Here is a 27,668-nt window from a genome sequence, read left to right as displayed (position 1 = left end):
ACAGGTGGCTGGGACTGCCCCAAAGGGCAGACAGGTTTATTGGGCAGCAGCTGGGAAAATCAGCGGTTGGACTTGGCCACACGCTCCAGCTCGTCCTTCTTCTTAATGGCATAGGAGTTCGAGGAGCCCTGCAAGGAGACACACAGCTCTGAATTCTGAAGGACCCCCACAAATGCCCAACTTAAGACCCCCCAACCGGAGTGCCCTCACCCACCTTGGCAGCATTGATGAGCTCATCTGCCAGGCACTCAGCAATGGTCTTAATGTTCCGGAAGGCAGCCTCACGAGCGCCTGTGCACAGCAGCCAGATGGCCTAGGAAGACAGCAGGGGTCAGGCTAGAAGGACAGACTGCGGTCCTCCAGCACCCTGGGGCCACTCCCAACTGATGCTGCCAGCCACGTTGTCACCCATAGGCCCACTGAGACAAGAGGTGGTGGCATCATGCCTGATTTGCAATCAGATAGAGGGTCACAAGAGCAAGTGTCCAGACACACACACACACAGGCTGAAGTTGCGTCCCCAGTGACAGGAGATTGAGACCTGCCTCAACAGCAAACTGCTAGACGGCCGGGCACGGTGGCTTGCGCCTGTAACACTTCGGGATGCTGAGGCAGGAGGAACACTTTGGCAGGGAGTTTGAGACCAGCCTGAGCAACTTGGTGAAACCCCACCTCTACAAACAAAAAAACCGACGACAACAAAAAAGGCGGCCAGGTGTGGTGGCTCATGCCTGTAATCCTAGCACTTTGGGAGGCTGAGGGGACAGGATCATTTGAGACCAGGAATTCAAGAACACCCTGAGATTCCATCTCAATTATTTCTAAAAAACAAGGCAATATATTTGCTTTTAACTTGGACCCAATTGACAATGCGCCACTATAAAGGGCATTCTGGCATTCTGGGGACAGATGCTAAATGGAACAACGACTATTGCTGTGAATATAAATTCCTTCCTGGGGGTGACGACGGGGGTAGGTCATCTTTGTTTTTAAAGACACCTGCAGTGTTCAGGGAAAACACAATCAAAATGTCTGCAACTGATTCTCAAAATGTCCAAGAAAAAAAAAAAAAGTACATATACACACAGTGTAAAAATATACACCCAAAGGAAAGAAAGAAGACCTCTGCCAAATGTGTTCCCGAAGAGGACCCAGAGCCTGGATCAGCCCCTATGCAGGGTGGGAATCCAGGAAGGCTTCCTAGAGGAAGTGATGCTGCAGGTAAAACATGCAGACAGAGAGGAGCCTTCCTGCCCCAGGCAAGACCCCACCCACTCCCGTGGCTGTGTCCACCCTGCCACGTGCATAAGCCCCAGGCTCACCTGGTTCACACGGCGCAGGGGGGACACATCCACAGCCTGTCGTCTCACAGTCCCGGCGCGCCCAATGCGTGTGGAGTCCTCCCGGGGACCACTGTTGATGATGGCGTTCACCAGGACCTGCAGAGGGTTCTAGAGAGAAGGGGGATATGAGCCTGACATCCAGCCCCATGCATTCCTCCCCTTTCCTCATACCTAAAACAAGAGTGACCACACCACACAGGGGATAAGCCTGACATACACTCCGTGGGGCTTTCGGGTGTACTGAGGGCACAGCCTGCCCTCACCAGGCCACAGAGCCCTACCTCGCCTGTGAGCAGGTGTATGATCTCGAAGGCATGCTTGACGATGCGCACAGTCATGAGCTTCTTGCCGTTGTTGCGGCCGTGCATCATCATGGAGTTAGTGAGGCGCTCCACAATGGGACACTGAGCTTTGCGGAAGCGTTTGGCGGCATACCGCCCTGCACTGTGAGGCAGGTACTTGGCATACTTCTCCTTCACTGCAATGTAATCCTGGGGCAGCAGGGAGCAGGAAATGAAGGGAAAATGGTCAGGAGCAGCATGGGCGTTGGCCAGACACCAGAGGAGAGATCAAGTACCCATTCGGGGTAGTCCAACAGCTGTCTGGGATCCTGGTATGCCTCAACAGGGGACTTGGATGTAAGCCCCATCCACCATGAGGAAAAAAACCCTGAACAGGTGACTTTACCAAGTCGCTAAAAAGTACACTTCCTTCGTAATGGAAGAGTGGGAATCTAAGGAGACTAGATTTTGGACCAGATAATTGTCTGGGGGGCTGTCCTGCACACTATAGGATGTTTAACAGCCATCTGGTATGCCACTGGCAACCCCTTCAGTTTTTTTTTTTTTGAGTCTCTCACTGTCACCCAGGCTGGTGTGCAGTGGTGCCATCTTAGCTCACTGCAACCTACGACTCCGAGGTTCAAATGGTTCTCCTGCCTCAACCTCCCGAGTAGCTAGGATTATAGGGGCCTGCCACCAAGCCTAGCTAGTTTTTTTGTATTTTTAGTAGAGACAGGTTTCACTATGTTGGCCAGGCTGGTCTTGAACTCCTGGCCTTGTGATCCGCCTGTCTTGGCCTCCCAAAGTGTTGGGATTACAGGCATGAGCCACTGCGCCTGGCCTAGTTTTTTTTTTCCCCCCCTTGAGGCTGAGTCTTGCTGTCACCCAGGCTGGAGTGCAGTGGCGCAACCTCGGCTCACTGCAACTTCTGCCTCCTGGGTTCAAGTGATTCTCCTGCCTCAGCCTCCTGAGTAGCTGGAATTACAGGCACGCGCCACCAAGCCCAGCTAAATTTTTTGTACTTTTAATAGAAAAGGGGTTTCACTGTTTTGAGCAGGCTGGTCTCGAACTCTTGACCTCAAGTGATCTGCCTGCCTTGTGCTCCCAAAGTGCTGAAATTACAGGCATGAGCCACAGTGCCTGGCACCACCCCGGTCAGTTTTCACATCTAAAAATGTATCCAGGCATTGCTAAGTGTTCTCTAAGACAGGAAACCAACCACCCCAGAGTAGGAACCACAGTTTTTTGGTTTTTTGTTTTTTGAGATGGAGTCTCACTGCCTTCCAGGCTGGAGGGCAGTGGTGCAATCTTGGCTCACTGAAACCTCCGCCTCCCAGGTTCAAGCAATTCTCCTGCCTCAGCTTCCTGAGTAGCTGGGACTACAGGTGCATGCCACCATGCCAGGCTAATTTTTGTATTTTTAGTAGAGCTGGGGTTTGGACATGTTGGCCAGGCTGGTCTTGAACTCTTGACCTCAGGTGATCCGTCCGCCTCAGCCTCCCAAAGTGATGGGATTACAGGCATAAGCCACTGCACCTGGCTGAGAACTTTTTTGTTTTTGGGTTTTTTGTTTGTTTGTTTTTGAGATGGAGTCTCACTCTGTCACCCAGGCTGGAGTGCAACGTTGCAATCTTGGCTCACTGCAACCTCCACCTCCTGGGTTGAAGCAATTCTCCTGCCTCAGCCTCCCAAGTTGCTGGGATTACAGACATGCGTCACCATGCTCAGCCCAGTTTTTTTTTTTTTTTTTTTTGAGATGGAGTTTCGCTCTTGTTGGCCAGGCTGGAGTGCAATGGCATGATTTCAGCTCATCCCAACCTCCACCTCCCAGGTTCAAGCGATTCTCCTGCATCAGCCTCCTAAGTAGCTGGGACAACAGGTGCACGCCACCATGCAAGGCTAATTTTTGTATTTTTAGTAGAGACGGGGCTTCACCATGTTGGCCAGGCTGGTCTCAAACCCCTGACCTCAGATGATCTGCCCGCCTCAGTCTCCCAAAGTGCTGGGATTACGGCGCCCGGCCCAGAACCACAGTTTTAAAACAATCATTTAACAAGTCTTCTTATACTTACATAGCCATCCCCACACAAAAATCTAGAAAAATGCCAAAAAGTTAACCTTGAGTATGTAAAGGGGAAGAAAGGAGCTATGTGCATTCGAAGGAGACTGCTGTTGATAGTTCCATTACAAAATGTACCCAAGGCCATTCTATCACTTGCCTCTGAGAATATACACAAAATACCTGTTTCTACAAATACAAGGAATGATGGGAAAAGAACACAGGACACTGAAACTCTCAGTACTATTTCATAGTCTGGCTGCAAGAAAAAAAAAACTCACAGTCTCGTGAAGGGCATTCACGCAGGGCTTTCACTATGCAGCAAAAAATTGCAAACACCAAATTCCCCAGGAAGGGTTTGGCCCAACAGTGGAGCCCTGCACAGGTGTTTAAAATACAGTGAACTCCCATTGATGTTTATTTCCCTAGTGGAACAGGCACTTAACAAACGTTTAATAGATCAAGGAGTTCAAGGCCAGCCTGGCCAACATGGTGAAACCCTGTCTCTACTAAAAAGACAAAAATTAGCCAGGTGTGGTGGCATGCACCTGTAGTTCCAGCTACTAGGGAGGCTGAGGCAGGAAAATCACCTGAACCTAGGAGGTGGAGGTTGCAGTGAGCCGAGATCGTGCCACTGCACTCCAGCCTGGGTGACAGAGCGACTCCATCTCAAAAAAAAAAAAAAAAAAAAAAAAAAAAAGTAACAGTGGCCAGTGTGGCCCACAAAGTCTAAAACATTATCTGGGCCTATAATGAAAATGTTTGTGGGCTGGGCGCAGTGGCTCATGCCTATAACCCCAGCACTTCGGGAGGCTGAGGCAGGAAAGTCGCATGACCCTGGGGAGGCAGAGGTTGCAGTGAGCCGAGATCGCACCACTGCACTCCAGCCTGGGAGGCAGAGAGAGACTCTGTCTCACAAATAAATAAATAACGCCAGGCGTGGTGGCTCATGCCTGTAATCCCAGCACTTTGGGAGGCTGAGGCAGGCTGATCACCTGAAGTCAGGAGTTAAGAGACCAGCCTGACCAATATGATGAAACCCTGTCTCAACTAAAAATAAAAAAATTAGCTGGGTGCGGTGGCATGTGCCTGTAATCCCCGCTACTTGGGAGGCTGAGACAGGAGAATCGCTTGAACCCAGGAGGCAGAGGTTGCAGTGAGCCAAGATCGCACCATTGCACTCCAGACTGGGCGACAAGAACGAAACTCTGTCTCAAAAAATAAATAAATAATTAAAATGTGGCCGGGCAGATCATGAGGTCAGGAGTTCGAGACCAGCCTAACCAACATGGTGAAACCCCGTCTCTACTAAAAATACAAAAATTAGCCAGGCGTGGTGGTGTGCGCCTGTAATCTCAGCTACTTGGGAGGCTGAGGCGGGAGCATTGCTTGAACCCGGGAGGCGGAGGTTGTGGTGAGCTAAGATCGTGCCATTGCACTCCAGCCTGGGCAATAAGAGCGAAACTCCGTTTCAAAAAAATAAATAAATAAATAAACAAACAAAAAATAATAATAATATTTAAAATGTTTTTGGACCCCCCGAAATAAACCCCTGAAGGAAAGAAAAGCCAAGATCTACAAGATATTCAGAGTGAAAAACAAGGCTGAATTATCCATTAGGCATAGTGCCTAAGTCCCCTGACATCTTTACAGACAACAAAAAAGTTTTCATTCTTTATAAAACAAAAGGTAGCAGGTTTGGTGGCATGCATCTTTGGTCCCAGCTAGTTGGAGTCTAAGACAGGAAGATCCCCTGAGCCCAGGTGTATTGAGGCTGCAGTGAACTGTGATCACACCACTGCACTCCAGCCTGGGTGACAGAGAGTGATCTTATCTCAAAGATAAAACTTTAATGATTAAAAAAAAAGAGGAGGAAAGTGAATAAAGTGCAACCCAAGTTATATTCATCTTTATATCAATGCAGTCACAAAATATAATTTCAAACACTTTCTTTTAATGGAGGAAGGGCTCACAAAAGCTAAAGTTCTTAAGGCCCACAAAATTCTTAATGATGCCTTCATGGGGAGGGGAAAAAAAGGGTATGTGTAAAACCGTACGGAGTAGGAACAAAGTAGGACAACTCACACTTCCCAATTGCAAAACTTAATACAAAGCAAGAAAGTGTGGTACTGGCATAGAGACAGACATATAGACCAGTGGAATATAACTGAAAGTCTGTAATGAAACCCATACATCTGGGCCGGGCGCGGTGGCTCACGCCTGTAATCCCAGCACTTTGGGAGGCCGAGACGGGCGGATCACGAGGTCAGGAGATCGAGACCATCCTGGCTAACTCGGTGAAACCCTGTCTCTACTAAAAATAAAAAAAAAAAAATCAGCCAGGTGCAGTGGCGGGCACCTGTAGTCCCAGCTACTCAGGAGGCTGAGGCAGGAGAATGGTGTGAACCCGGTAGGCAGATCGCGTCACTGCACTCCAGCCCAGGGAACAGAGTGAGACTCCGTCTCAAAAAAAAAAAAAAAAAAAAAAAACTACGGCCAGCTGATTTATGACAAGTGGCCAAGGCCATTCAATTGAGGGAAAAAAAACATCTCTTTAGGAGATGGTACTGGATAACTGGATATTCACATGCAAAAGAATGACACTGGATGTTATGTATTTTACTACAAAAACAGTAACAAAAATACCATATGTGAGATGTGATGCTCCTTCTGGTGAAGGAGTCCTCTCATGACAGAAGTTGTAGTCATCTTTGAACAGGACGTAAGAGCAGATGTGGTAGATGTGGTGGTCAAGGGATCCCTTCTTTACCTGTTATGATCTCTATTCTTGACTTAATGGCACAGCAACAAGTTTGATGTGTGCCTTCCTGGAATAATGTCCGCCCCCAGCCAGGAAGGCCAATCACCAAGTTCCCCTCACCTGCAGGGAAATGTCATTGATCTGCACATCATCGGTGCTCCACTTCCCAAAGAGCTTGATGTCTGGGGTCTCTGCCACCGCTGGTGCTGCTGTCTCCCACTCGGTCATCCTGGGACAGGGTGATGACAGGAAAAAAACGTCAGAGCTCAGCTAGCATGGAGCAAAGGCGCACTCATTCCCAACTCTGAGGCTAGCCGCCATCTAGTGATGAACTGGGGGGTCGCAAAGGACCAAGAAAGGCCGTGAACGTGTTTTCAAGCACTAGAAAAATTACTCAGCTGTCAGCAAGAAGCATCTGTCTTTCACCTAGAACCCCTGGGCCCAAGACTTGGCAGCCACCAGTCAACAGCTGCTGCACTGGGACCAAGGTATAATGGCTCAGCAGATGCCATACGTCCTCACACTGCATGGGCTGTAATTCAAACCACAATCTCGCGATTTACATGGTCTTTGACCCAAGTCAACGTTCCGTCTCGGACTGTTTCTTTGGCCGTGAGGCGGGACCGTTATATGACATCAAGGACCACGGTAGGTACCGTGTGGCACAATCAACCCAAAGGTTTCGATTCTTGACCGACAGTATGAAGGCTCTAGGGGCTGCTATTACGGGGGGAAAGTTACACAGAGCAAAAGAGGGCATCGTGTCCCTAAGAAATGGAAACTTCCTATCTCAGAGTACAACCGCATAGTTCAAACCAAGTTCCCCAAGCCCCGCTATGGGGAAAAGCTAGAAGCGGCGGAGCACCAGAAAGAAGTCAAGAGTAACTCGGCCCGCGCCCGTTTCTTCTACATTTTCTTTTCCAGAGACAGAAATGAGACCTAATGAGAAAAGGCCCAGGCCGCGGGGCACTATCCCCGAAAGACCATGAACCGTCCCTAGGATCCCCGGCCCCGCGGCGGTCTCACCTGAGAACACAGCCTGAGCGTCTCTGTCACTCGGCGTAGACCACGCGCCGCCCTGGTACAGACAGGAAGAGGCCGCGCGCCGCGGGCCAACACTTTTAACTGGGAAGAAAACTTCCGGGTCAGCACGGGTGACGCTTGCGTAAAAGGCCATCGTGTCCCTATAGACCAATCCGGAGGAAGGTTGTAGAGGAACCTTTTGGGCTAGACGGAATGGGTGCAGCCCAAGCGCATGCGCAGTTGCAGAAGCGGCCCTAGAAGCGTGCCTGGCGGATGTCCGCTACCCCGTAGTTGCCCTGTCTTGTGGGCGCCTGCAAAAGCGCAGAGATTTCCGTGAGACCAACGCAGCCATGTCTAATAAAGAAAAAAGTCTGGCCAGCGCTCGCTTCTTTGTTCAGCTGCTGACCTTAAATCCCACCTGCCGCGGGAGTAGCCAGTTCAGTTCCCTCTGACTCCTCGCCGCGGCCACAGCCGCCTCACCGGCACGCGCCTGATGCGGACCTGGGTTAGCGGAGTGAGGCCCAGTGGTCACCGCCGCCCTCCGCAGGTCCAGGTTGCCGTGCGCATGTGCCTGCCACACGCGGCCCCTCCCCCACCGCCCGGCCCAGGAGCACCACGCTCGCGAGCCCCGGATCCCGAGCCTCTGGCTGGGCCTGTTTCCCTGCTCGACCTTTCCTGCCATACCACGCTGGGTTCCCCCACAGCCTCCGCGCCCTTCACCTCTGCTATGCAGTAATCTCGCCCGTGGAAGAGGGGAGACCGCCGGCACGAGGGCCCGGGGTTGCGGCGGCGGGAGCAGCGCGACCCGTCTCTGGGTGGAGCGCGGAGGTAGCCTACAGGCTACGCGCGGTGTCCGGGAGGAGGGGGTCGGCAGGTCGGGGACCCTTCGTGTTTGTCCTTGTGTCCTCCACGGCCGGGGAGCCCGCGCGAGGGGTTGCAGCCCCCTGCCCTCAGGGCTCACGTCACGAGGCCCTCGTGTCTGCAGACGTGGCTCTCAGGGGTGCCTCTTGAACTGGCCGACCTCTCCAAGGGTCAGAAACGTAGGTTTCTGGCCAAAGGTTGAAAGGAGGGATGGAAGATTTAGCCATGAGATGAAGGAGATTATTCCCGCCAGCACACAATCCCCTGCCCCCCAACTTCTGTCCCTTCCCCCAGCTGCCTCTGAACAGGTAGGGCCTCTGAACAGCTCAGCCCTGGCTGGGAGCAGACAGCGAACCCTCTCACAGGGCCTGAACTATTGCGTGGGATTGAGGATGTGGGCCTTCGACCCGGGGTCCTCATCCGTGCGTGGGGTTGGCACGGTAGTGAGTGCCCCAGCTCACTCTACTCACTTGGCCACCCTGGCAGCCAGTGTGGACAGTCTGCCTGCCCATGACCCCTTCATACCCCTCTGCCTGTCCCAGCCTCTTAGATCTAGGCTCATGAGCAGAACTGGGACTTTCCAGAGGTAGCAACTACTTTGACTGTGTCTCTGCCTGCAGCAGGCATAGACATAACCTTTACGAGGCGACTCCAGGACCACCTGGGGCCGCCCTGTCTCTGATGCCCATCTCTGCCTCCAAGGGGTTATCCCTCCAACTCGGGATCCGAAGGGCCCAGCCACCTGACCCAGGTCCCAGGGCTGGGCCTGCCCCCTACTCCCATCCCTGAGGCGTGCACATAGCAGGTGCCCAGCAGCTGTGTTTCTTCACTGCCTGACTGTAAAGGCTCTTCTTACCCCAATTCTGGGGCGTTTCTGTCCAAATATGCTGAGGACTCCCCACAGTGGGCCCTTGGACTGTGGTCAGTCACAGCTCATGAAAGGACACATGCCCTGAAGCTGGGCTGGTCAAGGGGTCAGACCTCAGCCTCTGGTGAGGGGCACGGCCTACTGCCACCGCCTAATGGCCTTTACCCCTGCCCTCCATCCTGTGCAGAGTAGCAGCCTTGGGGCTCCCACTGGGGTCTGTGTGGTTGCAGGAGGGGCTAGGTGGGCTTCTCCCTGGTCTTGAGTGAGGGGCATGGGGGTGCTGGTTGTAGGGAGGGTGGGAGAAAACAGGCAGCACTCATCAGGACAGTGAGCCCACCCCTCTGAACCTGTTTTCCCCTTCAGTGTGGAAATGAGAATGCAATGAGGCAACGTCAATGTGAACCCTGTGGCCTGGCTACCATGGTCATTTGATAATGGACATCTTTACAGACCTCATGAGAATGACTCATCGTGCTGCAGAGGGCAGGTGCCCTCAAGTGTGGCGTGGTGAATACTGCAGAGCCGAGACTCATGCACCCCCCACCCCCGCCACCAGGTCCAGGGTGGTCCAGCCTCCCCAGGTCCCCAAGGTGCTACGATAAGATGCAGAGTCTGACCTCATAGATCTAGGGCTGCTGGTGCTGTGTTCTTCAGACTGGATGAGGACCCCAGAGACTCTGCAGAGATCTACCTCACTTCTGGTACATTGTGTCCATCCTGAGTGGCCGGCCCCAGACTGGACTCCTCACTTCTGGGAAGGCACCCTCTGGGCCCTGCTGGGCCACCTGCCCACTCTCCAGGCAGTCACTTTGCCTGTCCACCCTACCAGCCACAGTCTTACTGTTAGCTGATCTTACATCCTTGTGATGGCTCCTTTTTTTTTTTTGTGACGGAGTCTCACTCTGTTGCCCAGGCTGGAGTGCAGTGGCGCAATCTTGGCTCACTGCAAGCTCCGCCTCCTGGGTTCATGCCATTCTCCTGCCTCAGCCTCCCGAGTAGCTGGGACTACAGGCGCCCGCCACCACGCCCGGCTATTTTTTTTGTATTTTTAGTAGAGATGGGGTTTCACTGTTAGCCAGGATGGTCTCGATCTCCTAACCTCGTGATCCGCCTGCCTCGGCCTCCCAAAGTGCTGGGATTACAGGTGTGAGCCACCGCACCTGGCCGTGATAGCTCCTTAATGCCTTTACTGGCACCTTGGTTGTCTGTTGAAGTCCCCAGCCTGATTATCAACTCGTTTGGAGTGTGCTGGATTCAGTCCACCCAGTTGCCTGGCAGAGCCAAGCCTGGCCCTGCCGCATCCCAAACTTGATCTTGTGCCCATGGCTGATACTTCATGGGCTACTTTGGCCTAGCCACTGTCTGCTTCTATGGGATGCCCACCTGTAATGGATTGAATGGTGGCCCCCAAAAAGGTAAGTTCATGCCCTAATACCCAGACCCAGCGAATGTGACCTATTGGAAAAAAATCTTTGCAGATGTAATTTAGTCAAGGATCCCAAGATGAGAGCATCTAGGATTAGTAGGGTGGACCCTAAATCCAATGACAAGTGTCCTTATAAGAGACAGAAGAGGGCCGGGCATGGTGGCTCATGCCTGTAATCCCAGCACTTTGGGAGGCCGAGGCGGGCACATCACGAGGTCAGGAGATCGAGACCATCTTGGCTAACACAGTGAAACCCCATCTCTACTAAAAATACAAAAAAATTAGCCAGGCGTGGTGGCGGGCGCTTGTAGTCTCAGCTACTCGGGAGGCTGAAGCAAGAGAATCACTTGAACCTGGGCGGTGGAGGTTGCAGTGAGCCAAGATCGCACCACTTCACTCCAGCCTGGGTGACAGAATGGGACTCCGTCTCACACACACACACACACAAAGATTCTTAAGGAAATGTGGCCGAGTCATCCAGGATGCTTCAGCCACTGGGGTTTGCTTTCGTGGCTCACCAGCACCTTCTCCCCTCCTGGGAACTGCCAACTTCCATTTCTCCTCTGTTCTTCCAGATCCTACAACCAGGATTCTGTGTTGGGGGCCAAGATGCCCTGCTGAAGCCTCTATTCCCTGAGGCTGCTTCGCAGTAAGCTACCCCAGGCCCTCAGGAGAGGTGTGAAATGGAGCAGAGGCCCTTTGCTGAAGACAGCATAGAGCCAGAGGGGGACCTCTGCGGAGGGATGGCCGGTAGCAGGACAACTCTCCTGGGTGCAGGGTCCCAGGCCTACAGACATAGAATGAGCCCCAGACTGGGGACCTGTGGGATTGGTAAAGTTGGACCCCTTGGGTGGGAGCCCCACTGGAGCTTCCTCTCCAGGTCCTTGCCTGATTCAGTCTCATTCCTGAAATCGCTCCTGTGTAACCATTGTCACAAGATGCTTCTCTGGTGCTGCCCCTGCATGAACCCTGCAGGGTCCACTTAGACAACAGGCTTGTGTAGAAGTGAAGAAAGCCTACAGACTGTCACAGCCCCCATAGCCGGTCCCCTCCAGACAAGTCCCCCGCACCTGTGCCTGCCAAGTGGTTAGGCCTTTCATTGGTGCTTCAAACTCCACTCCAGGGCTGCCAGTCACCCCATGCCAGCCCTGCAGGGACAAGGCCTTTGTGTGGTGGCCAGGCCTGTGGTACCACCAGAATCTTCACTCCAGAGGGAGGCCCTTTCTGTGCCTGGGAGTGGGAAGTTCTTCCACATAGGCTCAAGACTCCTCCAGTAGCAGTGCATCCACAGGTGTGAGAAATCCTACTTGTGTCAGGCCGGGTGCAGTGGCTCATGCCTGAATCCCAGCACTTTGTGAGGCCGAGGCGGGTGGATCATGAGGTCAGGAATTCAAGACCAGCCTGGCCAAGATGGTGAAACCCCATCTCTACTAAAAATACAAAAATTAGCCGGGCGAGGTCGTGGGCACCTATAATCCCAGCTACTCGGGAGGCTGAGGCAGAGAACTGCTTGAACCTGGGAGGCGGAAGTTGCAGTGAGCTGAGATCGCGGCCACTGCACTCCAGCCTGGGCAACAGAGCAAGACTGTCTCAAAAAAGAAAAAAAAAAAGAAATCCCACTTGTGTCCCAATTGGGGCCAGTGGCTGAACCTGTCAGACATCTGCACACCCACACAGAGCCAGCAGCTGCACTCCTTTCTCTGTGACAATTGTCAAGGCCTTCCTGTGCAACTCTCTTCAGCCACCAAGGGACCCACAAGGCGGGCAGCCCTCCAAGTGCCCTTCAGCCTCCTGCTCGCCCTCAATTAGCTTGGTAAGCCCTGAGTTTTGTACTTGGGCAGGGAGATAGACCTCCTGACAAGGCTTTCGATGTGCAGACACCCAAAGGATGGAGAAAGGGAGTGGAACAGTCCCAGCATCCCTGAAGCAGATGCAGTGGAGGCAGAAAGGTGGGGCAAACTGGGTCGTTACATGCAATATATGTGCTGGACTGGCCAACAAAATTAGATGTCCCTATTGAGGGCAGGAGCCACACAATAGATGGGGGCAAGAGCTGGGGGTTACAAATGGGTAGGAGGCGTGACCAGTTCATCCTACCTGGGAGGGCCCGTAGAGTCAGCAACACCCAAAGGGGCTGGGGAGGCTGTGGTTCCCCAATGGGGCCGCACGTGTTAGAATCAACTAGGAGCCGGACTAGGGGCCTGGCGCAGTGGCTCAAGCCTGTACTCCCAGCACTCTGGAAGGCTGAGACACGAGGATCGCTTGAGCCCAGGAGTTCCAGACCAGTCTGGGCAACATATGGAGACCCTATCTCTAAAATAAATAAATAAATAAAAATAAAAAAACTATCCAGGCATGGTGGCTCCCACCTATAGTCCCAGCTATTCGGGAGGGTGAGGTGGGAGGGTCGCTTCAGTACAGGAGTTCGAGACCAGCCTGGGCGACATAGTGGGAGGAGGAAGGGAGGGGGAGAAGGAGGGGGAGGGAGAGAAGAAAGAAAATTAGCCGGGCGTGGTGGCGCGCGCCCCTGTTAACAGCTACTCTGGAGGCTGAAGTAGGAGGATCGCTTGAGCTCAGGAGGTCGAGGCTGCAGTGAACCGTGATGGTGTCACTGCATTAGCCTGGGCGACAGAGCGAGACCCCGTCTCAAAAAAGCAAACCAAAAAAAATACAAAAAAATAGACTTAACTGAGGAGTTTTGACGCGCATATGCTCGGGCCCAGTCCCAGATTCTGATGTTATCGGTCTGACTCGCAACGCGCTCACCAAGACACTTCAGAGCTCCCCAGGTGCTTCCCAGCCCAACTCTCCCACCCGAGGGGAGCCTGCGAACCGCAAGTCGGTTCCGGGTTGGGACCTCTTAGAAATCAGATTGGGAGAGGAGGCTATCAATCATAATCATGACCAGTCACCCGCTTTCACGAGAAGGAATGGGCGGGACCCTACGTCCCCGTCCAGAACGCCGTTTCTTTGGCGACGACTTAGGTCCACGCCCCGCCTTTTAGGTGTAGCCGGCCTCTGTTTCTATGATAACCGAAGCCCAAGCCTCTCCCTACACCGCTTTCTCCGCAGCGTCAAAGCGGGACATGACGGGACTACGTTTCCCAGCAGTCCCCGCGCGGGTTCCCGCCTGCGCTTGCTGTGGCCCGGGTCCCTCAGTGCCGCGGCGGCCCGGAGGTGGCGGGAGGACGGCTCCGCGCTGCATGCGGGGCGGGGACCAGGGACCCGTGCGGGCCGCCTCCAGAGAGTAAGTGGCATTCTGCGCGGACCCGCAACCTCGGCCTGCGAGGCGGGGACCTCCCGGCGCATAGCGCGGCCACCACCCCAGTCCCCTCTCCACCTCCGCGCGCGGGGTCCGGGGCAGAGGCGTGACGCCGCGCACTTCCGGTCCTCGCGCTCCGGGTCCGGACCGGCCACACAGCACTCGCGACCTTGAGTTCCGGGCGGGACGGGCTTCTGTAGTTCTGGCCCCCGCGTTTCCGTGCTGGGTGTCATTGAAGCCCGCGAGGGGAGGCTCCAGGCCCGGGACCCATCCTGGCGGCCTGCGGCTCTCGGAGTCAAGCCCACCTGCTAGCCGAGGCCGACGCCGGCCTCCCTACCGTCTCTGCCCCCGCATCCTGGCCTTTGCACTTTGCTCTTTCCTTGTCTGCAGACCGGTTTCATGCCCCCTCTTCACAGAGGCCCGAAGAATCCGCTGCCTCCCTCCCTGGCGCCCTCGCGCTGCTCCCTGTCTGATGTTCTTCACGTCTTTTTCTCTCTTAAACGGTCTCTTGTTCATTTCTTCTTGTCTGCGGTCCCCTCCTTCACTCACTATTAGAGCAGGATGCAGCACCGTTTGGCCCTGACACAGTGGATGTCCTGCGAGGGTTGAAGCTTGCTAATCCTTGAGGGTGGAGGCACTGTCGGGAGGACAGACACAGAAGGGAGCTGTGCCTGCACTCAGAGGACATTTCTTCTGCTGTACAGTGCATGATGCACTGTTCTTCCCATTGCGTGCACAGTGTAGAATTGGACATAGGGGCTAGAGTCTGTGTCCCCTGGGACTGTCAGTGTGGGTGAGGTTGGTCTGTGGCTCAGAGAGGTGGAGCCACGCTGAGCTGGGCACTAGCCTGTGTCCTCCACACCTCAGAGCCACCAACGTTGACTTCCCTGCACATTCTGTTTTTGTTGTTGTTGTTGTTGTTGTTGTTTTGAGACGGAGTTTCGCTCTTGTTGCCCAGGCTGGAGTGCAGTGGCGCGATCTCGGCTCACTGCAACCTCCGCCTCCCGGGTTCAAGCGATTCTCCAGCCTCAGCCTCCCGAGTAGCTGGGATTACAGGCATGCACCACCGTGCCTGGCGACTTCCCTGCACATTCTCTTGGGCAAATAAGACCTCATTGTGCCGTGTGCAACCTCCATGAGGATGTTGAACCTCACTAGCTTTCCTGTGTGTGCTGTTGCTCTGCAGTTCTGCAGGGCTCAGCCTTGGCCACGTTAACCTCTCAGTCCCCCTAAATTGGTAACTCTGCATCCTGTTCCCAACACCAGAAGCCCTAAGGACAACTAGAAAGGCTGGGCGAGCACCCAGGTGCAAGCATGCTCACCTGGGGCAGGTGGGAGGTCACTGTAAGAACAGCCTGGGAGAGCTGTAATGCACCATCAAGGACGGGCTCCTGGGACCTGGGACCCAGAGCCTCGATTGTGTTTGCTGTGCTCAGCCTCAGATCATGGGTCCATGGCTGGAATGCCACCCACCTACAGGTGGGATAGTTGGACAGTGCATCCTGGGAGCAGATCAAGGAGACGAAGAGACTCGGCCATGGTCCACAGCTCCCACCTGCTGTGTCTGGTGCTGGGAGGCAGGTTCTTGTTGCAGCAGAGGAGCCACCCCTGGGAGCAGGGCATCTGGGGACCAATCCGAAGATGCTGTTAGCACATGGCTAGCAGGTGCCCCTCAGCCCCCACCTCCCACAAGTTCAGGGTCCCTTTCTGCCAAGTGGGGACTGCTGGTTCTTCAGGACAACCCAGCTTCCCCAACCCTCTGTTCAGACACTAAGCAGTCCTCTGACTCCCCATCACTAGGGATCAGGAGAGCCCCTTACAACACACACATTCTGTCGAGGGTGCTAGACCAGTCTCTATTAGTTTCTGTGGCTGCTATAACACACTACCACAAACTGGGCAGTTTAAAACAACAGAAATTTACTCTCACAGTCCTGGAAGCCAGAAGTCTGAAATCAAGGTGTCAGCAGTACTGTGCTCTCTGACGGCTCTGGGTGGGGGTCTTTCCTTGCCTCTTCCGGCTTCTGGCGGCTCCGGGTGTTCCTTGGAGTGTGGCTGCATCACTCCAATATCAGCCTCCATCTTCACATGGACCACTCTTCTCCGTGTCAGAACTCCCTTTGCCTCCTTCATAAGGACACCTGTCATTGGAATTAGGGCACACCCAGGTTATTCAGGGTGATCTCATCACAAGATCCTTAATTATGTCTGCAAAGACCTAATAAGGTCACATTCTGAGAGTTCCGGGGTTAGGACATTGGATATATCTTTTGCAGCCTCCTTCAGTGGAACCTGCCTGATCCTGGGTGACCTCATGTGCCCATCCATTCTTGGGCCTGTCCACTGATTCCATGGTGATCAATTGTCCCTGTTTGGCCAGGCTGTCCCAGGTATGGTCTTTCACCCTGGGAAGTCCTCAGCCCCTAAGTCCCTAGAGTTCTAGGAAGTCATGCTGAGTGCTGGTCCTAGCCCTGCTCATGCCACCAGCTGTTGTACAGACTGTGACATGAAGCCAGCAGCCTTGGAGCTAATAGCAAGGCAGGTGCCCAAGTCCCTCCATCCCTGACATCTGGGTCTCTGTGACCTGGAGTTGTGTCAGAGAGGTCCAGATCCTGGCTGTGGGGCTTCTGGGATGGCACATTGTGAAAGCGGGGCCCCTGACCTCCTGCTGCTCAGCATCCATAGTGGCATGCTCCCTCCTCCGTGTAAAGGGCTGGAGTCCACACTGGTACCCCCATCAGAGTCTATGGCTGGGGAGTTCCCTGCCCTATGTGTGGGGACCTCAGATCCCAGCCTGGCAATGACCCTGGACCAACCCCTTTAGCAGTGGGTCCTGGTGGCTTTCTCAGGAGCTCTTCAGTCAGCCTGGCCTCTCAGAGGTAGACGAGGGAACACTACAAAACCTGCAGTGCTCAGAGACAGAGGCTTGAGAGAGTGTGGGGAGGTGGGCAGGATGGGCCTGCCCCGAATAGCCAGGTCCACGGCCAGCAGATGGACTCGAGAGAGAGAAGCCGACACCTGTGAGAAACGCCAGATACTGTGTGTGGTGGTTGGGAGCCAGCAGGCAGCCTGGGTGTGGACAGAGCTCCATGGTCAGACAGACCAGAATGTGTGTCTCCATGTCTTGTGTCCTGCCCTCAGTCTCCTCCCTCCCGTCACAACTTCCCATGTGGTGGCAGCAGTGCCCTTGGGTGTGTGCCCCTGTAAGGAATTGCCCTGTGCCCTGAATATCATTCCCAGCGAGCATGTTCAGTTTCTAATGAAGAGTTTTCTTTGCTTTCTTTTTTTGAGATGTGGTCTCACTGTGTTGCCCAGGCTGGCGTGCAGTGGTGCAATTGTAGCTCACTGCAGCCTCAATCTCCCAGGCTCAAGCGATCATCCCACCTTAGCTTCCTGACAGCTGGGGCTACAGGCTTGCACCACCACACCTGGATAGTTTTTTTTTTGAGATGGAGTCTCGTTCTGTCACCCAGGCTGGAGTGCAGTGGCAAGATCTCGGCTCACTACAAGCTCCGCCTCCCGGGTTCACACCATTCTCCTGCAGGCGCCCACCACCACACCTGGCTAATTTTTTCTATTTTTTAGTAGAGACGGGATTTCACCATGTTAGCCAGGATGGTCTCAATCTCCTGACCTCGTGATCTGCCCACCTCCCAAAGTGCTGGGATTACTGGTGTGAGCCACTGCGCCCAGCCTTTTTTTTTTTTTTTTGACGGAGTCTCGCTCTGTCGCCCAGGCTGGAGTGCAGTGGCACGATCTTGGCTCACTGCAACCTCCGCCTCCCGGATTCCAGTGATTCTCCTGTCTCAGCCTCCCGAGTATCTGGGATTACAGGTGCGCGCCACCTCGCCTGGCTAATTTTTTGTATTTTTAGTAGAGATGGGGTTTCACCATGTTAGCCAGGCTGGTCTCAATCTCCTGACCTCGTGATCCACCCACCTTGGCCTCCCAAAGTGTTGGGATTACAGGCATGAGTCACCACGTCCGGCCATTTTTTTTTTTTTTTTTAATAGAGACAGGGTTTCACCATACTGCCCAGGCTGGTCTCTAACTCCTGGGCTCAAGCCATCCACCCACCTTGGCTTCACAAAGTGCTGGGATTATAGGCATAAGCCACTACACCCAGCCAAGTTTTCTCTTTGATATGAGTGAATTAACAGACACCTGGTTAAAGAAAATGCTTTTACCCCAGAGCTTAAGCCTCTGATGTGGAAACTATGCTTGGTACTCTGGTATGCAGTTGACTTGGCTGTGTGTGAGAAATTATTTTATTTTTACCTAGAGATTTAAAAGAACTTGTTTTTCTCTTTTTTTTTCCTTTTTTCTTTTCTTTCTTTTTTTTTTTTTTTTTTTTTTTTTTTTTTTTTTTTTGAGACAGAGTCTTGCTCTGTCACCCAGGCTGGAGTGTAGTGGCCTGATTTTGACTTATGGCAAGCTCTGCCTCCCGGGTTCAAGCCATTCTCCTGCCTCAGCCTCCGGAGTAGCTGGGACTACAGGCGCCTGCCACCACACCCGGCTAATTTTTTGTATTTTTTTTAGTAGAGATGGGGTTTCACCGTGTTAGCCAGGATGGTCTCGATCTCTTGACCTCGTGATCCGCCCGCCTCGGCCTCCCAAAGTGCTGGAATTACAGGCGTGAGCCACCGCGCCCGGCCAAGAACTTGTTTTTCTCAATACAAATGTATTGCTTAAAAGAAACCACCTTCGGCCGGGCGCAGTGGCTTGTGCCTGTGATCCCAGCACCTTTGGGAAGCTGAGGCAGGGGGATCACTTGAGGCCAGGAGTTTGAGACCAGCCAGGCCAACAGGGTGAAACCTCATCTCTACTGAAAATACAAAAATTAGCTGGGCGTGGGGGCAGGCACCTGTAATCCCAGCTACTCGCCAGGCTGAGGCAGGAGAATTGCTTGAACCTGGGAGGCAGAGGTTGCAGTGAGCCGAGATTGTGTCACTGCACTCCAGCCTGGGCAACAGAACGAGACTCTGTGTCAAAAAAATAAATAAATAATAAAATAAAAATAAATAAATAAACCACCTTCATCCCATGCAGTGCTTTCGTGTGACCAGGGCTCAAATGACATCCTGGATGTTGCAGGGTGGGCCGACGCCTGACAGGCTGCAGGAAGGAGCACTGTGGCATGGGTGCATTCTGCTTTAAAAAAAAAAAAAAAGATATAAATCAGCTGGGCGAGGTGGCTCACACCTGTAATCCCAGCACTTTGGGAGGCCGAGGCAGGCGGATCATGAGGTCAGGAGTTCGAGACCAGCCTGACCAACATGGTGAAATCCCATCTCCACTAAAAATACAAAAATTAGCCGTTCTTGGTGGCACATGCCTGTAATCCCAGCTACTCAGGAGGCTGAGGCAGGAGACTTGCTTGAACGCGGGAGGCAGAGGTTGCAGTGAGCTGAGATCACACCACTGCACTCCAGCTTGGGTGACAGAGGGAGACTCCGTCTCAAAAAAACAAAACAAAACAAAACAAAACAAAAATATATAAATCATGTAACAAATGAACCATTTTACAATTCAGGTTGGGTTTTAGTATATATATATCTCTAATATATATTTACATTCTATATAAATATATACTCTTAAGTATATATGTAATTTTATATATATATATATATATATATATATATATATATATATATACTTTTTTTTTTTTTTGAGACAGATTCTCGCTCTGTTGCCCAGGCTGGAGTACAGTGTTGTGATCTCGGCTCATTGCAACCTCCTCCTCCCAGGTTCAAGCAATTCTGCCTCAGCCTCTCAAGTAGCTGGGACTACAGGCGCCTGCCACCACACCTGGCTAATTTTCATATTTTTAGTATAGACAGGGTTTCACCATGTTGGCCAGGGTGGTCTCGAACTCCTGACCTCAAGTGATCCACCTGCCTCAGCCTCCTAAAGTGTTGGGATTACAGGCGTGAGCCACTGTGCCCGGCCATGTTTTTGTGTGTGTGTATATATATATATAATTTTTTTTTTTTGAGATGGAGTCTTGCTCAGTCGCCCAGGCTGGAGTGCAGTGGTGCGATCTCGGCTCACTGCAGCCTCCACCTCCCAGGTTCCAGTGATTCTCTGCCTCAGTCTCCCAAGTAGCTGGGACTACAGGAATGTGCCACCACACCCGGCTAATTTTTGTATTTTTAGCAGAGATGGGGTTTCGACATTTTGGCCAGGCTGGTCTCGAACTGGCCTCAAGTAATCTTCCCACCTTCGCCTCCCAAAGTGCGGGGATTACAAGTGTGAACCACCGCCTGGCCAGGTTTTAGTATATTTTTTAGGTTTTAATATATTCACTATGTTGTGCAACCATCACCACTATAATTTCCAGAACATTTTAATTACCCCAAAACTTGATACCCGTAAAGCAATTACTCCCCACTCTTTCCCCTCAGCCCCTGGCGACCACCAGTCTACTTTCTGTCTCTGTGGATTTGCCTATTCTGGATATATCGTATAAATGGAATTATGCAATATGTGGTCTTTTGTGACTCACTGCTTTTACTTTCCATGTTTTCTAAAGTCCATGTTGCAGTATGTGTTAGTACTCATCCATTTTTATGGCTGAATAATATCCCATTCTATGGATATACCACATCTTATTTATGCATTTGTCATTTTATATACTTGGCTTGTTTCTCCATTTTGGCTACTGTGAACAGCGCTGCTCTGAACATCTGTGAGCCAGTGTTTGCTTGAATGCCTGAGTTCATTTCTCTTGGGTGGATACCTAGGGGTGGAATTACTCGGGGTGTGGTAGCTCCATCTTTACCTTTCTGTGGAGCTGAAGGTTTCCACAGCAGCTGCACTATCTATATCCCCACCAGCCAGGTGGGAGTGTGTTCTGTACTTTCCTCTTTTTTGCCATGTCTTCTTGTCCTCAGGGCAAACACTGAGCATGGATGGTGCCAGCTGAGGCCAATCAGCTCACCTGCAGTGGGGGAGCCCCATGATAGAGCTTACTGCCAGCAGCTTTGCCAGTCCTGGGTGTATGAGTGGTGCTTTTTGAAATCTTGTCCCGCCCCCTCCAGCTCATTTACTTTATTCACACAGTGAGTCCGTACTCCACATTCTGGAGAAAGCTTCCCTTGTCTCCCTGTGGGGGCCTGTGAGAACCCCATCCAGACTCAGGGAGCCCAGCTCCCTCTACTCTGGTGTCTGTGGGTTAGATTCATGTCCACCTGCTGTTGGGACGGTCAGTGCCCATGAGCAGGTGAGGCCTGTGGCTGCTTGCCTCCCCATGTGCCCATATCATTCCCCATCCTGTTCTTGGGAAGCTGCATGGTCAAGACCTGAGGGCAGAAGGGACAGAAAGAGAGTAACAAGCTACAACAGCAGCCAACCCCTCACCTGGAAGGAGTAGCCTCAGACTCAGATCCACAAGTGTTTGGGAAGGGGATGTTTGTAACTGAGTGCCCATTCTCTCTCACACCCTTCCACCTGCGTGGGAGGTGACAGGTCACTCTAGGTGCCCTGTGCACAGTCCAGGCCACGGGGCAAAGCATGCTGGTGTTCAGCACCACCCAGATGTCCTCGTACTCAGAGAAGTTCCTTACTTCCAAGCATGCCTCCTTGAGTCCCAGGCTCCAGCTGGCTGATAGGTGGAGAGACCAAGGCATGAAGTGGCAGAGCCCACAGTGGGGGGAGGTGATGGATTTTCTCTAAATTAGACCTGATTAGTGCCACTCTTGAGGGAGGGAGATCGAGGAAGGATCGGCGCCTTTGGGAGTCTGCATCTGGCTCCGGGAAGTCTCAGGAAAACCCAGACCCCGAGTGGCTTTAAGGTGCAGAGGGAGAGGCAGCCTCACCTTTCCTGTCTCACACAGGCCTGGAGGGGACAGGAGGGTTGTGCAGTTATCACGTGTGACAAGTGAGGCTGAGAAACCTCACATCACACCAGAGTCCCCTTGTCCTTACTGTCACCCTGGCTTATTAGCAAATGCCTGGCCTGGGACTGGTACTTGCTGAACCCTTGGCACTGGGCCTTTCTGCTCTCCAGCTCAGGCCAGCAGCCTCCCATACAGCAGAGCAGGAACCGGGCCTGGCTGCTTCAAAGGCCTTTCGTGACCTGCAGAACTTGTCCAACTCTGCATTTTTGTCTTTAACCAGTTTGGTATGTTTCATTTCCACTCAAAAACATTCATCCCCAGAGTGCTGGCCATCAATGCATTTCTGCCATTGTGGTCATGATGTCCAAGAAGGAAATAACCCCCCAGGGGCAACTGGCAGCAGCTTCCTTTGGAGAACTGCAGCCAGTCGCTCTGAAGTGTCCTTGGCTGAAAAGTCAACATGTAGAGTCTTGGTTAAATGCTTCGTGAGTCCTTTTAGTTCCCGGTCAAGTTATTTCAGGCCACCAGGTGGCCCAGGGCAACTGCCTGTTAGAAATCTGCAAAACAGACAGAAAAAGTGACATCAGGTCAAGGACGTCTCACCATGTTGGCAAGGATGGTCTCGATCTCTTGACCTCGTGATCCGCCCCCCCCGGACTCCCCAAGTGTTGGGATTACAGGCATGAGCCACCACACCCGGCCCTCTGAGACATTTAATAAATGGATATCGGCTGGGTGCGGTGACTCACGCCTATAATCCCAGCACTTGGGGAGGCCGAGACGGGTGGATCACCTGAAGTCAGGAGTTCAAGACCAGCCCCGTGAACATGGTGAAACCCCGGCTCTACTAAGAAAAAAATACAAAATTAGCCGGGCTTGGTGGTGAATGCCTATAATCCCAGCTACTCAGGAGGCTTAGGCAGGAGAATTGCTTGAACCCAGGAGGCGGAGGTTGCGGTGAGCTGAGATTGTGCCACTTCATTCCAGCCTGGGCAACAAGAGTGAAACCCTGTCTCTAAATAAATAAAAATAAACAAACAAACAAACAAATAAATAAAGGGATATCTGGCCAGGTACGGTGGCTCACGCCTGTAATCCCAGCGCTTTGGGAGGCCGAGGTGGGCAGATCACAAGGTCAGGAGTTCAAGACCAGCCTGGCCAGCATGGTGAAACCCCATCTCTACTAAAAATACAAAAAATTAGCCAGACATGGTGGCAGGCACCTGTAATCCCAGCTACTCAGGAGGCTGAGGCAGGAGAATTGCTTGAACCCAGCAGGCGGAGGTTGCAGTGAGCTGAGATGGCGCCACTGCACTGCAGCCTGGGTGACAGAGAGAGCCTCTGTCTCAAAAAACACCAAAATAAATAAAATAAAATAAGAGGATATCTGCCTTGCACAGAATAGGGAACACAGGACAAAAGGAGAAGAATCTGAGCTCCTGTGCCGAGTGAAGCAGTGATTTACGAGGGTGCCACAAGTGTGTCCATCTCACGCTCTGCATATGATGTTAGCCATCCGGGATTCAGAGTCTAAAGGCTGTGCTGGACAGATCCATCTTTGTTCTGGAAACAATGAGATCTAGGGAGGGGACAGGAGGATTGTGCACTTATCACGTGTGAGGCTGAGAAACCTCACATCACATCACAATGAGGAAAATATTTATTTATTTATTTATTTTTGAGACGGAGTCTCGCTCTGTCGCCCAGGCTGGAGGGCAGTGGCCCAATCCCAGCTTACTGCATCCTCCACCTCACAGGTTCAAGTGATTCTCCTGCCTTAGCCTCCTGAGTAGCTGGGACTACAGGCATGCATCACCATGCCCGGCAATTTTTTTTTTTTTTTTTTTGAGACAGAGTCTCGTTCTGTCGCCCAGGCTGGAGTGCAGTGGCGTGATCTCGGCTCACTGCAAGCTCCGCCTCCCGGGTTCACACCAGTCTCCTGCCGCAGCCTCCCGAGTAGCTGGGACTACAGGCGCCCGCCACCACGCCCAGCTAATTTTTTGTATTTTTAGTAGAGACGGGGTTTCACCGTGTTAGCCAGGATGGTATCGATCTCCTGACCTCGTGATCTGCCCACCTAGGCCTCCCAAAGTGCTGGGATTACAGGCGTGAGCCACCGCGCCCGGCTCCCCCCCCCCGGCCTTCACCCCTCCCTCCCTCTCTCTCTCTTTTCTTTTTTTCCTTTTCTTTTTTTGAAAGAGTTTCACTTTTGTTGCCCAGGCTGGAGTGCAATGGTGCGATCTCGGCTAACTGCAACCTCCATCTCCCGGGTTCAAGTGATTCTCTTGCTTTAGCCTCCTGAGTAGCTGGGATTACAGGCACGCACCACCATGCCTGGCTAATTTTGTATTTTTAGTAGAGACGGGGTTTCTCTATGTTGGTCAGGCTGGTCTCAAACTCCTGACCTCAGGTGATCCATCTGCCTCGGCCTCCCAAAGTGCTGGGATTACAGGCGTGAGCTACCGTGCCCGGCCGTCCTTTGTTTTCACTTGCTATTCAATTGCTTGCTTAGGAGATGAATATTTATATATGCACGTGTGTGTATCTCAGCAAAGTCCACTGTTGTAAGCAGAATAATGGCCCCCTGAAAGATCTGCACGTCCTGTTTCCTAGAACCTCTGACTATGTTACTTCACAAGGCAAAAGAACTGAGTGTGATGAAGTTTTGGATCTTGAGATGGGGAGATTCCTGGATTATGTGTGGTTGGCCTAGTGTGATCACAAGAGGCAGAAGGGTCAGAATCCTATAAGGAGTATAAGGAGATTTGACAACAAACCCAGAAAGAGAGAGATGAACATGTCTTACTGCTGGCTTGAAGATGGAAGAAAGAAAAGTAGGTGGCACCTAGAAGCTGGAAATGGTCAGCAAACGTCCTCCCCAAGAGCTTCTGGAAGGAACCCACACTACTGAAACCTTCACTTAGGACTTACGACCTCCAGAACTCTGAGATAACAAGTTTGCACTGTCTCAAGCCACTATGGGGTGGCAGTTTGTTAAAGCAGCTTTAACAATAGATAACTAATACAGCCACAGTGTAATTTTAAAATAGTAATAGCAGGCGCCAGGCGTTGCTAATGTTCACACTTGCTTGAATGATCTGGGCTGCCTGTCTCCCTACTCAGCTGGTTATACTTACCGTTATCATACCCATTTTGTAGATGAGGCTGCCAGCCTTGAGAGCACCACCGTTACCTGGTTGAAGAGGGGAGGGGAAGTCCAGCATTGGCCTCTGCAGCGTGGATCTCCCGGCCAGGCTCTCAGCTGTCAGGTGAGTCTCACCTCACACCTCTCAGAAGACATGGACAATGGCAGTGAATGGAGCCAGGAGGACCCGGAGTGTCGGCTTGCCACTGAGAAACGGAGGGCAGGAGTAAGTGAGATTTTGGGGAGCTGGCAGCTGAGCAACGGGGGAGTCCCTGTTGCTTGGGGAAGGGGGACCAGGGAGGGCCTTAGCCAGGGGCACAGTGTTTTAGGAGCTAGTGTTGGGGAGGAACGGTGATGGCGGGCAGGCAGAGCCTGGGAAGCTGTTCTCTGGGGTCTGGGTGGTGACAATTTGAAGAGGGGCAGGACGGGCTGCCTATGTCACTCCATTTACCCTTTCGCATCTGCAGAGAGCTGGGGGCCGCCCAGTAGGTGCCAGCTGTGGGGTGGTCGCTCGTTGGCCCAGTTCTCCACTTCTCTCCTCCTGGGAACCGCCAACCTCCATTTCTTCTCTGCTCTTCCAGATCCTACAACCAGAACTCTGCGCCCCAGGATGGAGGCTCCAGCCCAGAAGGCTGGGCAGGGAGGACTCCCCAAGGCCGATGCCCAGGGTGCCTCCGGGGCCCGGGAGAAGAGGCCCGAGGAGCCGAGGCCCCTCGAAGAGGACCGAGCTGGGAGCCGCCCCACTCAAAAGGGGGACCTGCGTGGAGCGGCGGGCGGTAGGACGACTCCCCCAGGCGGGGGCTCCCGGGGCTGCAGCCTCGGGGTGAGCCCCGGCCCGGGGACCCGGCACAGCGCCGGGACCAGACCCCTCGTGCGGGAGCCGTGCGGCCCCACCTCTTCTCAGAACCCTGAGCTGGTTATCCCCGAGGGGCTGCAAGCCCGGGAGGGCCCCTGTAGGAGCCCAGCGCGTGGCGGGGACTGCAGCAGGAACTCCTGCCTGGCGTGGCATCGCGGGGCGCCCGCTGGGGAGACGCCACCCGTGTGTGACCCCTGTCCGGAGCGGATCCAGAACCACCCCCGGACTCAACTGTGTGAGGTCCACACGGACTGTTGGCCGTGCCAACCAGGGACTGGCGCTCCGACCTGCCCGAGGACCCCAAAGCCGACCTCCCGCGGGAGGAACCCCTTGGTGGAGCAGCCCCGGGCTTGCGCGTGCGGCGAGGCCTTTGCGTGGAGGGCCCTGCGGATCCCCCAGGAGAGGCTGCAGGCGACGGAGGAGCCCCGTCCGTGTGCCCGGTGCGGGAAGCGCTTCCGCCCCAACCAGCAGCAGCAGGCGGGCAAGAGTCCCCCAGTGTGTCCTGAGTGCGGCCAAACCTCGCGACCTCGCCCTATTGTCCCCGACCCCCCGGCCCAGCGACTGTACGCTTGCGACGAGTGCGGCAAGGCCTTCACGCGCACCTCCAGCCTGCTGCAGCACCAGCGCATCCACACGGGCGAGCGGCCCTACGAGTGCGCCGAGTGCGGCAAGGCCTTCGTGCGCTGCTCCGGCCTGTACCGCCACCAGAAGACGCACTCGGCCGAGCGCCACCGGCGTGGCCCCGTCCTGGCGCGGCGCGCCTTCCGGCTGGGGTGCCCGCCCTGCGGGGACTACAGCGAGCGGAGTCCCCGACGGGGGTCGGGAGCCGGGGAGAAGCCGTACGAGTGCGCCGACTGCGCCAAGGCCTTCGGGCTGTTCTCGCACCTCGTGGAGCACCGGCGCGTGCACACCGGCGAGAAGCCCTACGCGTGCCCCGAGTGCGGCAAGGCCTTCAACCAGCGCTCGAACCTGAGCCGGCACCAGCGCACTCACAGCAGCGCCAAGCCCTACGCGTGCCCACTGTGCGAAAAGGCCTTCAAGGGCCGCTCGGGCCTGGTGCAACACCAGCGCGCGCACACCGGCGAGCGGCCCTATGGCTGCTCCGAGTGCGGAAAGACCTTCCGCGGCTGCTCCGAGCTGCGCCAGCACGAGCGCCTGCACTCGGGCGAGAAGCCCTACATCTGCCGCGACTGCGGCAAGGCCTTCGTGCGCAACTGCAGCCTGGTGCGCCACCTGCGCACGCACACGGGCGAGCGGCCCTACGCGTGCGGAGATTGCGGCCGCGCCTTCAGCCAACGCTCCAACCTCAACGAGCACCGGAAGCGGCACGGGGGCCGCGCCGCGCCTTGACTGCAGGGAGCCGAGAGTCGACGCGTCGCCCAAGCGAACCCTGCGTCGAGGAGGGGCCTTTGTCCCGGAAAACCCACCAACGTTTGTAACTTTGATTAAACTTCACTTTGTACACATGGCGTCCACAGGCTTCCCCTAACTCGAGTTTTATTTGACCTTTTCTAACCGGGCGCACAGCATCCGGTTGCAGGCATAAGCAGTAATAATCTCGAGTGGGCGCTGATACGGCCCAGACGCTGTGTCCACGATCTCTAGGGTCTTTTTCTCCGCAGAGCCGCGGAGCGTGTTACTGGGCTCTCTGGTATGCGAGGAAACGGGGCAAAGTGACTCTCCTGAGGCACGAACATAAGACGATGGAGGCAGGATTCGAACCTAGGGTCTCTCATATCCCTTAGGCAGCTTCAGGAGCCTTGGGACCGCGGGGTATTTGCACACCCTCTACCGTAGCCGGCCTGGCACAGCTCGTAACCCTCCAGAGGTGAGACCTCGGGGCAGGCTTCTGCCTGTCCCGGCCCTGGCAGCTCGGTAGTCGCGGCAGAAAGGGTTCCCTTTGGTGAAGTGTGAAGCCCTGGCAAGCTTGCCCTGGTCTGACTGA

At 53.9% G+C, this 27,668-nt stretch overlaps 2 protein-coding genes, 2 long non-coding RNA genes and 2 other non-coding genes across 7 annotated transcripts, besides 11 other annotated features; 2 read left to right on the top strand and 4 right to left on the bottom strand.

The window, feature by feature from the left end:
- Positions 1-5: 5 nt before the first annotated feature.
- On the bottom strand, positions 6-7,541 carry RPS5 (ribosomal protein S5). The gene is made up of 6 exons (NM_001009.4): positions 7,471-7,541; positions 6,565-6,673; positions 1,625-1,834; positions 1,323-1,451; positions 215-313; positions 6-128 (listed from the first exon to the last, which is right to left on the bottom strand). Exons 2-6 carry the CDS (start codon positions 6,670-6,672, stop codon positions 60-62), a joined length of 615 nt encoding a protein of 204 aa, NP_001000.2. The 5' UTR covers position 6,673; positions 7,471-7,541; the 3' UTR covers positions 6-59.
- Positions 1,364-1,446, bottom strand: MIR10394 (microRNA 10394). The gene has a single exon (NR_162103.1). It is a non-coding gene; the product is annotated as a microRNA 10394 (primary transcript).
- Positions 7,231-7,280: an enhancer, noted in NCBI's record as "active region_15192". NCBI's record gives its function as "activates an Ori minimal core promoter by ATAC-STARR-seq in GM12878 lymphoblastoid cells {active_cell/tissue: GM12878}" and the evidence as "EXISTENCE:reporter gene assay evidence [ECO:0000049][PMID:35858748]".
- Positions 7,474-7,768: an enhancer, noted in NCBI's record as "tiled region #7872; HepG2 Activating DNase unmatched - State 1:Tss, and K562 Activating DNase unmatched - State 1:Tss". NCBI's record gives its function as "activates a minimal TATA promoter and a strong SV40 promoter by Sharpr-MPRA in HepG2 and K562 cells {active_cell/tissue: HepG2 | K562}" and the evidence as "EXISTENCE:reporter gene assay evidence [ECO:0000049][PMID:27701403]".
- MIR4754 (microRNA 4754) lies at positions 7,952-8,040 on the top strand. The gene has a single exon (NR_039910.1). It is a non-coding gene; the product is annotated as a microRNA 4754 (primary transcript).
- Positions 8,831-8,900: an enhancer, noted in NCBI's record as "active region_15191". NCBI's record gives its function as "activates an Ori minimal core promoter by ATAC-STARR-seq in GM12878 lymphoblastoid cells {active_cell/tissue: GM12878}" and the evidence as "EXISTENCE:reporter gene assay evidence [ECO:0000049][PMID:35858748]".
- Positions 8,921-9,140: an enhancer, noted in NCBI's record as "active region_15190". NCBI's record gives its function as "activates an Ori minimal core promoter by ATAC-STARR-seq in GM12878 lymphoblastoid cells {active_cell/tissue: GM12878}" and the evidence as "EXISTENCE:reporter gene assay evidence [ECO:0000049][PMID:35858748]".
- Positions 13,519-14,028: a silencer, noted in NCBI's record as "silent region_11081". NCBI's record gives its function as "represses an Ori minimal core promoter by ATAC-STARR-seq in GM12878 lymphoblastoid cells {active_cell/tissue: GM12878}" and the evidence as "EXISTENCE:reporter gene assay evidence [ECO:0000049][PMID:35858748]".
- Positions 13,519-14,514: a biological region, named in NCBI's record as "H3K27ac-H3K4me1 hESC enhancer GRCh37_chr19:58891663-58892204".
- Positions 13,780-27,187, top strand: ZNF837 (zinc finger protein 837). Of its 2 annotated transcripts, none has more exons than NR_049780.2 (3): positions 13,780-13,869; positions 24,882-25,093; positions 25,449-27,187. NR_049780.2 is itself a non-coding variant. In NM_138466.2 (3 exons), the coding sequence occupies exon 3, from the start codon at positions 25,478-25,480 to the stop codon at positions 27,071-27,073; it is 1,596 nt and encodes a 531-aa protein (NP_612475.1). In that variant the 5' UTR covers positions 13,780-13,869; positions 24,882-24,991; positions 25,449-25,477; the 3' UTR covers positions 27,074-27,187. The 2 variants fall into 2 exon arrangements, 1 of the variants encoding a protein (NP_612475.1); NM_138466.2 differs by having other exon boundaries at positions 24,882-24,991.
- Positions 13,973-14,514: an enhancer, noted in NCBI's record as "H3K27ac-H3K4me1 hESC enhancer chr19:58891663-58892204 (GRCh37/hg19 assembly coordinates)". NCBI's record gives its function as "activates a minimal SCP1, AML or CMV promoter by ChIP-STARR-seq in naive H9 embryonic stem cells {active_cell/tissue: H9 hESC(naive)}" and the evidence as "EXISTENCE:reporter gene assay evidence [ECO:0000049][PMID:30033119]".
- Positions 14,379-14,438: an enhancer, noted in NCBI's record as "active region_15189". NCBI's record gives its function as "activates an Ori minimal core promoter by ATAC-STARR-seq in GM12878 lymphoblastoid cells {active_cell/tissue: GM12878}" and the evidence as "EXISTENCE:reporter gene assay evidence [ECO:0000049][PMID:35858748]".
- Positions 14,469-14,698: an enhancer, noted in NCBI's record as "active region_15188". NCBI's record gives its function as "activates an Ori minimal core promoter by ATAC-STARR-seq in GM12878 lymphoblastoid cells {active_cell/tissue: GM12878}" and the evidence as "EXISTENCE:reporter gene assay evidence [ECO:0000049][PMID:35858748]".
- Positions 14,469-15,056: a biological region, named in NCBI's record as "H3K4me1 hESC enhancer GRCh37_chr19:58891121-58891662".
- Positions 14,515-15,056: an enhancer, noted in NCBI's record as "H3K4me1 hESC enhancer chr19:58891121-58891662 (GRCh37/hg19 assembly coordinates)". NCBI's record gives its function as "activates a minimal SCP1, AML or CMV promoter by ChIP-STARR-seq in naive H9 embryonic stem cells {active_cell/tissue: H9 hESC(naive)}" and the evidence as "EXISTENCE:reporter gene assay evidence [ECO:0000049][PMID:30033119]".
- On the bottom strand, positions 15,785-17,227 carry LOC105372484 (uncharacterized). The gene is made up of 2 exons (XR_936130.2): positions 16,701-17,227; positions 15,785-16,025 (listed from the first exon to the last, which is right to left on the bottom strand). It is a non-coding gene; the product is annotated as an uncharacterized LOC105372484 (long non-coding RNA).
- LOC124904788 (uncharacterized) lies at positions 20,157-25,003 on the bottom strand. Its single transcript, XR_007067364.1, has 2 exons — positions 24,916-25,003; positions 20,157-22,268 (listed from the first exon to the last, which is right to left on the bottom strand). It is a non-coding gene; the product is annotated as an uncharacterized LOC124904788 (long non-coding RNA).
- Positions 27,188-27,668: the final 481 nt, after the last annotated feature.

This window comes from Homo sapiens, chromosome 19, assembly GCF_000001405.40.
Source record: "Homo sapiens chromosome 19, GRCh38.p14 Primary Assembly".
Taxonomy (NCBI): domain Eukaryota; kingdom Metazoa; phylum Chordata; class Mammalia; order Primates; family Hominidae; genus Homo; species Homo sapiens.
This window is presented reverse-complemented; position numbering and strand designations above follow the sequence as displayed.